At 40.0% G+C, this 12,008-nt stretch overlaps 1 protein-coding gene, 1 long non-coding RNA gene and 1 pseudogene across 11 annotated transcripts in view; 1 reads left to right on the top strand and 2 right to left on the bottom strand.

Annotated features, from left to right (window-relative positions):
- PARP15 (poly(ADP-ribose) polymerase family member 15) overlaps positions 1-12,008 on the bottom strand; it is a 61,398-nt gene that overhangs the window by 33,753 nt on the left and 15,637 nt on the right. The window lies entirely within an intron of this gene.
- On the top strand, positions 234-7,025 carry LOC124909419 (uncharacterized). The gene is made up of 2 exons (XR_007096034.1): positions 234-4,852; positions 6,749-7,025. It is a non-coding gene; the product is annotated as an uncharacterized LOC124909419 (long non-coding RNA).
- On the bottom strand, positions 1,668-10,525 carry LOC100421636 (poly(ADP-ribose) polymerase family member 14 pseudogene; annotated as a pseudogene).

Below are 12,008 nucleotides of genomic sequence, written 5' to 3'. Positions count from 1 at the left end.
ACTTTCTCTAGTGCCAAATCTCATTTGGCTTGCTGGTGTAGCAGAGAGGAAGTACAGGCATACTGAACCCCCCTCCACAATCCCCCACCACCAGCCCTCATCCAGTGATTGACAGGAGCTGGTATAAAAATACAGCAGCAACCTTGCCTCCCAGAGAGATTCACTATGAGTTTCCCCAGTGGGATTAAGTGGGAGCTGATTTGATGATGCGCCCTACCAGTTTCCTTTACTTTCTTTCTTTCTTTCTTTCTTTTTTTCTGAGATGGAGTGTTGCTCTGTCACCTAGGCTGCAGTGAAGTAGCGTGATCTCGGCTCACTGCAACCTCTGCCTCCCGGATTCAAGTGATTCTCCTGCCTCAGCCTCCCAAGTAACTGGGATTACAGGTGCACACCACCACACCCCGCTAATTTCTGTATTTTTTTTCTTTTCTTTTTGAACAGAGTCTTGCCCTGTCACCCAGGCTGGAGTGTAATGGCACGATTTTGGCTCACTGCAACCTCTGCCTCCCGGGTTCAAGTGATTCTCCTGCCTCAACCTCCTGAGTAGCTGGGATTACAGGCACTCGCCACCACTCCCGTCTAATTTTTTGTATCTTTACAAAGATACAAAAATTATCTTTTTAATTGTTGGCCAGGCTGGTCTTGAACTCCTGACCTCGTGATCTGCCCGCCTCAGCCTCCCAAAGTGCTGGGATTACAGGTGCGAGCCACCACACCCGGCCCTACTTTCTGTATTTTTAGTAGAGACACAGTTTCACCAAGTTGACCAGGCTGGTCTCAAACTCCTGACCTCAAGTGATCCACCCGCCTTGGCCTCCCAAAGTGCTGGGATTACAAGCATAAGCCACTGCACCCAGTCTGTTTTCTTTATTTTCTTAGTTAAATAAGTTGCACTTGAATCCTGTCTTAGGGTGCTCTTCAGGAGGCACTCAACCTAAGACACATCCCTGAGTACTCCATAATAATGCATTTGAAGTTTGACTATTAATCGATCATAGAATTTTAGAATTTAAAGGGTCATGACAGACCATCCAGGATAGAAACTTCATTGTCCTGAAAAGGAAACCAGTGTGCAGATGGATGAAATCATTTGATCAAAATCAAACTACTAGCTAATGAAGGACACAGTACTTGAATGTGGTCTCTTGACACCCAGTTCAGTTCTACTCTTCATGGAATCTGAGCTTATCTACCTCATGGTATTTCTCACACAAATGGTAAAAATATAGTACATGTTATCCCTCTTGCACTTGTGACAGACATTACTAATCCATATCAGCATTCTTTTTCAATCAACCCAGATCCAGTCTCAGAATCTTCCTCAACACAGAGCTCCAGGCAACAATTATCATTTGGTCAGAGGTAATCCATGAAACTAAATCTATTTTCCATGCCTGATCTCACTCAAAAAGGATATCAATTTTTTTCTGTTTAAAATTGTCTTTGATTATTTTTCAGTCTATGCTTTGGCAGTAGGTTTCTGGGCAATACTTTCATTTGCTCAAGAATTTCATGATTTGTTACTCTTCTGCATGCACACTGGTATGTTTGATGAAAGTTTTATCCGTGATCTCCCACCCAGAGAATACTTTGGGTGAGAGTCTTAAAGCATTGATGTGAAGACTAGAAAACCTCCCAAAAGAACCAGCTACATTCTCAGTCACATTTTGGTTTTCCTTTTTGTTTTGGTTGGTGCTTTCTCTTATTGTCTTTAATTGTGTTACAACTCTTCACATCCTCCAGACAACCAATTATTATGACCATCTCCTTGAACATATCAAATTCAATCAAAATCCTATCATCCTCTAAACTGTTTTTTATGTCCTCCCATACTGCTGGCTTCATATTCAATCTGGTGACTTGATATTTAGACACAATGCAGGAGGTTTTTTTAGAAACATGTTCTCTACAGGTCTTGATGACACTGATTTTTTTTCGGTCTTCCTTGAGTAAGCTGGGTGGTTGTAGACCTGCATGTTGCCTCCAACCCCTTACACCTTGGGGTCATGTTACCTCACAGTGACAACTTCTCATCCTGTGATTTGTCATTCTGATCAGGTGATGCATTTTAGGCAGGAACTTCCATATGCGAGGATCCAGGGCCACCAGGAGTGGTGCTGGCCTGGCAACTTTTTCAGGGACTTTTCCCCTTGATACAAGGCTGTGGCCAAAGACACACAACACTGGGACACAGAAATGGGCCTTTCATTGAAGACCCAGACTTTTTGGTCAAGTAGGTGTTCACCACCAAAAATAAAAATAAAGGGTAGTCATCATTCAGACAAAACCAAATGGTAATATTTTAAAGAGTAAAAGGTACCTCTGGCACATAAATGCTGACACTCATGAGACTGAAATAGAGTGTCTTCCTAAAATGGCACCACTGTCAACAGGTCAGTGAAAGAATGTGACATTCGTAAATGCAATGGAGGTAATCCTCAACTAATGGAACAAGTCAATTCCATGCATGTTTACTTAGCCATAAAGTTTTATCACATTGGTCTGATTTTCCCACTGACATTCGTTGTAATATTGAAAAAGTAATTCTTTCCTGAAAAAGTCTTGCCCTTAGAGATTCAATAAATACAAGCAACAATGCAGGAGCAATTCAAAATAACCTCTTTAAAGTAAGGTCATTACTATTTTTGAAAGGAATGGTTATAATAGACAAAAATATTAGGAACAATTTTGTGCTATAATTGAAAGAAGTCATAAAATTAGGTCAGATTCCCTAGCAACAGAGCCTGAGTTTGGGATTCATATGCAAGTGATTTATTAAGGTTGTGCCCGCAGGAGAAACGTGTAGGAAGTGAGAGATGAAGATAGAGAAGAGGAAGAAGCTAAGCTAGAATATGTTTTTCGGTGTACCCTGGTATCTGCCTGATCTCCCAGGGAGCTCTAGAGTGTATAACTTCCATAACAGCATTTGTCCCTCCTAGGGGCAAGGGAGCTCAGTTCCTCTACCTCCATACCAGTCAGTTATTGTCTACGTACCATCTGATCAGGAGATGAATGTCAACTCCCAGGCACCTCTGGGAGAGGCACCCTTCAGTCTCCCAAAGGCAGTGCCCTGGGAAAGAATCCAAGTGTGAGTCCTTAACAGTAATACAGTCAATAAGCAGTTGGCTTATGAATGCACCTGATAAGTAAAAGAGACCAAGCCCAGGGCATCTGGGAGAGGCACAAAAGAAAAGAAAGACCACTAAGGAAAGTCCAAAGAATAACTGCACAAGTTTGAGAGAAAGAGAATGTGGCTCAGCAGCTAAGTCATATAAAAACGTCTAAGGGATCCTGATTGGCAGTAAACTCAGTACAAATTAACAGTAATATAGTCCTGTTTAAGAAAGAAAAAAAAAAGGCCACCAAATGCAAGGATGTGGAGCAGCAGGAACACTCATTCATTGCTGGTGGGAATGCAAAATGCTACAGCCACTTTGGAAGACAGGCAGTTTTTTACAAAACTAAACATACTCTTCCCATATGATTCAGCAGTTGCATGACTTGGTATTTACCCAAATAAATTGAAAACTTTTGTTCACACAATACCTGCACATGAATGTTTCTGGAAGCAATAAAGCTTTATTCATAACTGCCAAAACTTGGAAGCAACCAAGATGTCCTTCTGTGAGTGGATAAATAAACTATGGTACTTCCATACGATAGAATATTATTTAGCACTAAAAAGAAAAAGAACTGAGTTATCAAGCCACAGAAAGACATGGAAGAAACTTAAATGCAGATTCCTAGGTGAAAGAAGTCAGTCTGAAAAGGCTACATACTGTATAATTTAACTATATGACATTCTGGAAAAGGCAAAACTCTAGAGACAGTAAACAGATGAGTGGTTGCCAGAGATTTTGGAGAAGGAGGGAGGGATGAATAGGTGGAGCACAGGCAATTTTCAGGGCAGTGAAACTATTCTGTATGATATTGCAATGGTGGACACATGACATTATGCATTTGTCAAAAACAATGGAACAGGCCAAGGCAGTGGCTCATGCCTGTAACTTTGGGAGGCTGAGGCAAGTGGATCACCTGAGGTCAGGCGTTTGAGACCAGCCTGGCCAACATGGTGAAACCCCATCTCTACTAAAAATACAAAAATTAGCTGGGCGTGGTGGCAAGCACCTGTAGTCCCAGCTACTTGGGAGGCTTGACCCAGTAGGTGGAGGCTGTAGTGAGCTGAGATCGCACCGCTGCACTCCAGCCTGGGTAACAGAGCAAGGCTCCGTCTCAAAAAAAAAAAAAAAAAAAAAAACCATAAAAGACAAACAAAAACCAATGGAACTATACAACACAAAAAGTGAACTCTAAACTATGGACATTAGTTAATAACAATGCATTGGTTCATCAGTTGCAACAAATGTATCACACTAATGCAAGATGTTAATAATAGGGGAAACTAGGGGAGGGGGGTATTTGAGAATTTTCCGCTTTCGCTAAATTTTTCTGTGTACCTAAAACTACTCTAAAAACAAAGTCCTTTCCTTAAAAAAAAAAAAGGTAATAATGAATTTGGGGGCAATACTAATAGAAACATACTAACGAGAATGGGCATGAATAACGACTTTATTCTACTTTTCACTGTTAAAAACAGGCAACACCTGTGGTATGTGCTTACTTCAAAGTGCCAAATGTTGCAAAGGGATTATGAAAACTAGGTATGTGCAGAATAGAAAAACCGATGCCCTGAAAGGATGCAAAACCATGTCACATGAGGATATGCAGAAGGGAATGAGAATCTTTAACTTGCAGGAGTAGAGATAATGAGTGGGGTGGAATGCAAGAGCAGTTGTCTTTAGACATTTGAAGAGCTGCCTTATGAAGGAATGATTTCTACTACTCTAAGTTGGTATGTACAGCTATAGTAAAACATATTTGGGCTTAACATAAAGCTACGTTTTAAAATAATTAGAACTGCCCTAAGATGGAATGGGTAGGTCAACATGGGAAACAATAACTTCCCAGGCAAGCAGAAGATAGACCATCACTTAGTGGTCTGGTTTTACATCTAAGTGAACTCTTTTGCCTTTTTTCTCCCATATTTTTCTTAATTGAACTCCCTAGCCTACTTTGAATGCATTTTACTAGTAAAAATAGTTTTATTTTAGTACTCTTATGTCAGAGGTGATAGCAATGAAGGACAGTGAAAATGAAAGAGTGAAATACTTAAATAACATTTAATAATGGCATTTTGTGCTTATATCTGCTAAGAATTATAGCTATCCAAAACACAATTCATACCTGTTATTTCTCACCAAATTAGTAACTTGTGTTTCCCATTTGTTCTTAATTTGATAATTATAATAGCTTTATTTATTGGGTACCTGTTATGTGTCAGATATTTTGTAAATATTATCTCACTTAATTTAATCTTAACAATGAGCCTGTGAGATAGATACTTTCTGAATGAGGAAACAAGCCTGGTGCAATGGTTCATGTCTGTAATCCCAGTACTTTGGGAGGCCAAGGCAGGAGGATCATTTGAGGCCAGGAGTTCAAGACAAGCCCGGCCAACATAGCAAAACCCCATCTCTATGAAAACATTGAAAAATTAGCTGGGCTTGGTGGTGCACACCTGTAATCCCAGCTATGCTGGAGGCTGAAGTGGAAAGATTACTAGAGCTCTGGATTTTGAGGCTGCAATTAGCTATGATTATGCCACTGCATGCCTGGGCAACACAGTGAAACCCTGTCTCAAATAAGTAAATAAATAAATGAAGAAAAGGAAAGAAAAAGAAAGAAAGAGAGAGAAAGGAAAGGAAAGAAAAGAAAAAAGAGAAATTCGAGGAAGAAAGGCAAGAAAAAGAAAGAGAGAGAGGGGAGAGAGAGAGAATCAGAAAGTAACTTTGCCATTGTTATCCAGCTAATAAAATCTGGAAGGATTTAGATCTATACATTTGGGATTCTTTTTTTTTTTTTGAGACTATGTCTCGCTCTGTTGCCCAGGCTGGAGTGCAGTGGCACAATATCATGGCTCACTGCAGCCTCAGCCTCCTGGGCTCAAGTGATCTTCCTCTCACCTCGGCTTCCCAAGTAGATGGGAGCACAGCCATGTGCCACTACACCTGGCTAATACATTTGGAATTCTAAAGGACAGGCTGGGTGTGGTGGCTCACGCCTGTAATCCCAGCACTTTGGAGGCTGAAGCGGGTGGATCACCTGAGGTCAGGAGTTCAAGACCAGCCTGCCCAAAGTGGTGAAACCCTGTCTCTACTAAAAATACAAAAAATTAGCTGAGTGTGGTGGCGCACACCTGAAGTCCCAGCTACTCAGGAGGCTGAGGTGGGATAATTGCTTGAACCTGGGAGGCAGACCTTGCAGTGAGCTGAGATCACGCCACTGCACTCCTGCACTCCAGGGTGACAAGAGCAAAACTCCATCTCAAAAAAATAAAAAATAAAAAAAAGAATAAAATAAAAATAAAGGACCGTGGTGCTCTAATATTTCTATATAGATGGCTTAGGTGTGACAATCTGGCTAGAAGTAGAGGGTGGTGAAGGGAGACTGTCTTGAAGCTGTACCTTCTTGGATAGTGAAAGTAAGATCACTCTCAATTCCTACTTCCTGGTCATTGAGCCTTTGCGTAGTCTCCTTCCATATCATATCAGAGTTGGCTGTGTGACCAACAAAATATGGCAGAATTGACGCTATGTCACTTCTGAGGCTGGTGTATGAAAAGCACTGCAGCTTTCTGCGCTCTCATGGCCTCTCTTTCTCTCTCTCTCTTTCCCTCTTCCTCCCACAGATAACTCAATCTGGGGAAAGTCAGCTGCCATTTATGAACAGCCCTATGGAGAGGCCCTCAAAGTCAAGGGACTGTAGTGTCTGACAGGAGCCATGTGAGTGGGCTCAGAAGCAGACTCTCCAGTCGCAGTCAAGCCTACGATGACTGCAGCCCCAACCAACAACTGAATAACCACGTCATGATAGATACTGAGCCAGAATCACCCAGCTAAGCTGCTCTCAAATTCCTGATCACAGAAAGTGTGAGATAATAAATGTTTGTTATCTAAAACACCCAAGTTTTGTGGTAATTTGTTATGTAGCAATAGAAAAGTAAAAATATAAATTGTATGCTTATATAGGATGGCTTGAGGAGGCAGGCTGGTAGAGACAGTGGGGATAAGGCTGAAACTCCCATCCCCTAATCCTTTTTAGCAAAGTAATTGCTGAGAGCCAAGCTCTAACCACTATACCAGCAATATGAAATTTAAAGGTCTTAACAAAAAACATGTAAATATATATCCATGGGTTCAACCAACCATTGATTGAAAATATTTTTTAAAAAATACAAAATAACACAACAGTGAAAAATAAATAAAAATACAGTATAACAACTATTTACATAGCATTTACACTGCATTAGGTATTATAAAGTAATCTAGAGATGACTTAAAGTATATAGAAGGATGCATGTAGGTTACATGCAAATACTAGGCCATTTTACATAAGGGACTTGAGGATCCATGGATTTTGGCATTGCTTGGGGTCCAAGAATCTATCCCCTGTGGATACTGAGGAACAACTCTGTGTATATTATAATATGCATATATATAAAATCTATATGTATAGACTAGAAAAGAAAATGCATCTATTCCTTAGCAGCGAATGCACATATTGCAACAAAATTTATTTTTCCAAATTGCAACAAATACTGTTCTTTTAATATAAGGTATGGTCTGGGATATAAAATATATTTCTTAGGATGTATTGTGGAAAAAGAAAAAAAAAGCTGGGCGCGGTGACTCACATCTGTAATCCCAGCACTTTGGGAGGCCAAGGCGGGCAGATCACCTGCGGTTGGGAGTTCGAGATCAGGATGACGAGTTAATGGGTGCAGTACACCAGCATGGCACATGTATACATATGTAACTAACCTGCACATTGTGCACATGTACCCTAAAACTTAAAGTATAATAATAATTTTAAAAAAGAAAAAAAAAACCACTTGCTATGGTCTGAATGTTTGTGTCCCTCCAAAACTGATGTTGAAACCTAATTTCCATTGTGGTATTATTAAGAGATGGGGCCTTTAAGAGGTGATTAGGTCATAAGTGTGGAGCCCTCATGAATGGGATTAGTGCCATTATTTTAAAAAGGCTTTCAGAAGCCTTCTACCTCTCTGCCACGTGAGGACACAGCAAGAATGTGCCATCTTTGGAAGAGAAAATAAGCCCTCATCAGACACTAAATCTGCTAGTGTTTTGATCTTGGACTTTCCAATCGCCAGAACTATGAGCAATACATTTATGTTGCTTATATATTACCTGGTCTAAGGTATTTTGTTGTAGTAGCCTGAACAGACTAAGACACCACTATTGAAAGTTAAGCTCCTTTTCTTTGTAGATAGCCTCTCAACTTTTAGCTCTCCTACCTGACTGGTTTTCATTGAAGCTATGTGAGGAAGATCCTAATATCTGCTTCTATCCTCTGACTTTTCCCCCAGTGTTCTCTTCCCACTTATAGTTTCAGGGATACTTTTTGGCTTCACCACTTCTTCCTCATGATCACAGTTGGGAAGGGACATGCAGGTGAGGTACAGCCATTAAAAAATGATGTTTATTTGGTCATATTATCCAAAGTATAAGTATAAGCTATTTTGTGCATGGTAAACCCTTCAAGAAAATGTTACTGTCTTTAAAATGGTTCATTCCATTTTCTAAATGCTTTATGTTTTATTTGACAAGTGATCAGATTCTGAATATATCTTGAAGGTGAACAGGATTTCCCAAAGGAAAATAGAGGATATGAGAGAAACAGAAGAGTCAAGATGACTCCTGGGCTTTGGTCTGAGCAACTAGGAGGATAGAGTTGCTATCCGCTGACATGGGAAAGGCCATGGGTAATGCAAGTTGATGAGGTGGGGTGGAGAGGGTAAGCAGTTTTTGTTTAGGACATGTTACGTTTATGCTTTTTTTTTTTTTTTTTTTTTTTTTTGAGATGGAGTCTCGCTCTGTTGCCAGGCTGGAGTACAGTGGCGAGATCTCAGCTCACTGCAACCTCCGACTCCTTGGTTCAAGGGATTATCCTGCCTCAGCCTTCCTAGTAGCTGGGATTACAGGCACATGCCACTACGGCCAGCTAATTTTTGTATTTTTAGTAGAGACGGGTTTCACCATGTTGGCCAGGATGGTCTTGATCTCCTGATCTTGTGATCCACCTGCCTCGGCCTCCCAAAGTGCTGGGATTACAGGAGTGAGCCACCGCACCCAGCCATGTTTATGCATATTCTTTTAGACAACCAGGTATGGAAGTCTTCTGGGCAATGAGCATAGATACTGGAGTTTAGGAGAGAGTCTTGACTGCAGATAAAAACTGAGCCATAGGTACACAGTATTTAATGCCACTAGATCCTAGAGAGTGTAGAGAAAGAGGAAAAAAAGAACCAAGGACTAAGTCCCACATTAAGAACTGGAGGAAAGAAGAGGAATGAGAAAAGAAGAATAAAAATGAGCAGCCAAGCCAGCGTGGTGGCTCATGCCTGTAATCCCAACACTTTGGGAGGCCAAGGCAGGCGGATTGCTAGAGCTCATGAGTTTGGGACCACCCTGGGCACTGTGGCAAAACCCTGTCTCTACAAAAAAAATACAAAAATTAGCTGGGTGTGGTGGTGCATGCCTGTAGTCCCAACTACTAGGGAGGCTGAAAAGGGAGGGGGAAGTGGCAGTGGGCCAAGATCGTGCTACTGCCCTCTAGCCTGGGCAGCAGAGCAAGACTAAAGTCTCAAAACAAACCAACAAAAAGCAGCCACTGAGGTAGGACAAAACCGAAAAGTATGGTGTCCTAGCAGCGAGTGAAAAACCTGTATTTAGGAGGAAGGAGCCATCAATTGTATGAAATGCTGCTAAGAGATCGAGTAAAAGGAGGACTGAAAAGAGGATATTGAGTCCAGCAAAGTGGAGATCATTTGTGACTTTGACAAGAACAGCTTTGGTGGAACACTGGAGGTAAAAGCCTGTCTGGAATGGATTTAAGAAAGAATGGGGGGAGAGGAAATGGGGGTGAGGTAGACAAATTTCGATCAAGAAATTTTGCTGCAAAGGGAAGCAAAGAAATGAAGTAGTAGCTATGTGGAAATTGGGGTCAAGGGAAGCTTTTGTTTTGTTACTGCGAAAAAAAAAACAATTCCTTTAGCTAGATCCCCATAGAACCTGTTCAAAGCTTGAGTTAATTCACAGCATATTCCAGTAAGAATGTTGTGGCTTTGATGGGTTTCCTTATCACCTGTGCAGCCTCTAATCTGACTTCATCCATGCATTAAAAGCTGAATAACCACTTTGAACATCAAGAAGGAAGAGAAATTAATCCTTTGTAGTCAGAAAACTCAACCAGGGCTGAACCCTCCTCTGGGAAATACTGAACATTGGTTACTCTTTCTCTTCCATTTTTGGGATTTTTGAAGAAAATTGTTATGTAATTACATTCACCATCAAGTGGCATATTTTCAATCTTAATGGTTGTTGTCTGTTCCAAAGGTTCTGAGGAAATCTGAAGTTGCTGAACTTCCATGGTGTCCATCACAAACATTAATAAATGTGTTGACATCTAGAAGTAAAAATCAACTTATTGGTATTGTAATTTTATTTCATATTAGAAGAAAATAGATTTTTAAAAGTAATTTGATTTAGAGGCGATAACCACAAATTAAAATTAGATGCTAATTTCTATGTAAAGTTAGATTTCACAACGTCAATTTCAACCTCCCCTACCCTATATCAATTTCAACTTACCCTACGTTGCCTACCCTGAATACACAGCAATCTTTAACAATGACTTCCAATTTGAGATCGTTTGAGGAACAGGATCAACAGTTACCTCTCCAAGTGTAATCAAGGACATGGAGCTACTTTGTAATATGATAATAGTAATAATTGTTACACAATATTGTTTTCTCAATCTGATTTATCTTTGTCTCCCATACAAACTTACCCATACCTTGATATCTATTTGGACATGTCATGATTATAAAGTCATAAATATCTGATTCTTTGTTGTTGTTGTTGTTTTTCTGTTGCCTAGGCTGGAATGCAGTGTCCCATCATAGCTCACTGTAACCTTAAACTCCTTGGCTCAAGTGATCCCTGACAACAGCCATGTCATATAGCTTCACTATTAAAACTCACTGGCAATTTGAGGGGATGTACATAGCAGTTAAGAAAATACACTCAGAAGTCAGGATGTCTAACATGGAATTCTGAAACAGGTACTAGCTGTGTGACTGTGAATATGTCATTCAATCCTCTCTAACCCCCAATTTCATTCTTACTAATAGTACCTATCTCATATTGCTATATGTTTTAAGATAGGGTAAGTAAAAGTCTAAGCACAGTGCCTGGCATAGAGTAAGTGCTTAATACATGTTAGCTATTAGTAGTAGCAGAAGTAATTATGCATATTTCCCTCACAATTCTCTCTTACTGAGTGTTAGAAAGAGCACAACTTTTTTTTTTCTTATAGGATTCTACCTTTTCAAAACAAGCGACAAAATTTCTATAAATGTAAATATATACTTGTGATTTTGTAGTAAAATTGATTTCCCAGTTTGGGGCAGGTGGGGCTGGGAAAGGCTGAGGGAGTGAACACAGAAGAAAAAGTAAAACACTAGAGAAAACAAATGTGTTTATAATAAAAATGTATGTATGTATAATGTCCTATACATTAGTATCATTTTATCTATATATTTGCATATATGCATCAAAAGATGTACAAATGCATGGTTACTGAAATATTAAGTTATTAATAGGATTATTTTTGCATTTTTCCATACATATTTTTGTACTAATTTCTTTTTTACAGTGAATCCACGTTATCTTAATAACATAGATAAAAACGTATTTAAAAATATAAATTGGCCAGGCGCAGTGGCTCATGCCTGTAATCCCAACACTTTGGGAGGCTGAGGTGGGTGGATCACTTGAGATCAGGAATTCGAGACCAGCCTGGCCAACATGGTGAAACCCCGTCTCTATTAAAAATGCAAAAAAAATTAGCCAGGCATGGTGGCG

This window comes from Homo sapiens, chromosome 3 (assembly GCF_000001405.40).
Source record: "Homo sapiens chromosome 3, GRCh38.p14 Primary Assembly".
Taxonomy (NCBI): domain Eukaryota; kingdom Metazoa; phylum Chordata; class Mammalia; order Primates; family Hominidae; genus Homo; species Homo sapiens.
Note: the sequence above shows the minus strand (reverse complement) of the source record. Positions and strands in the feature narration are given on the sequence as shown.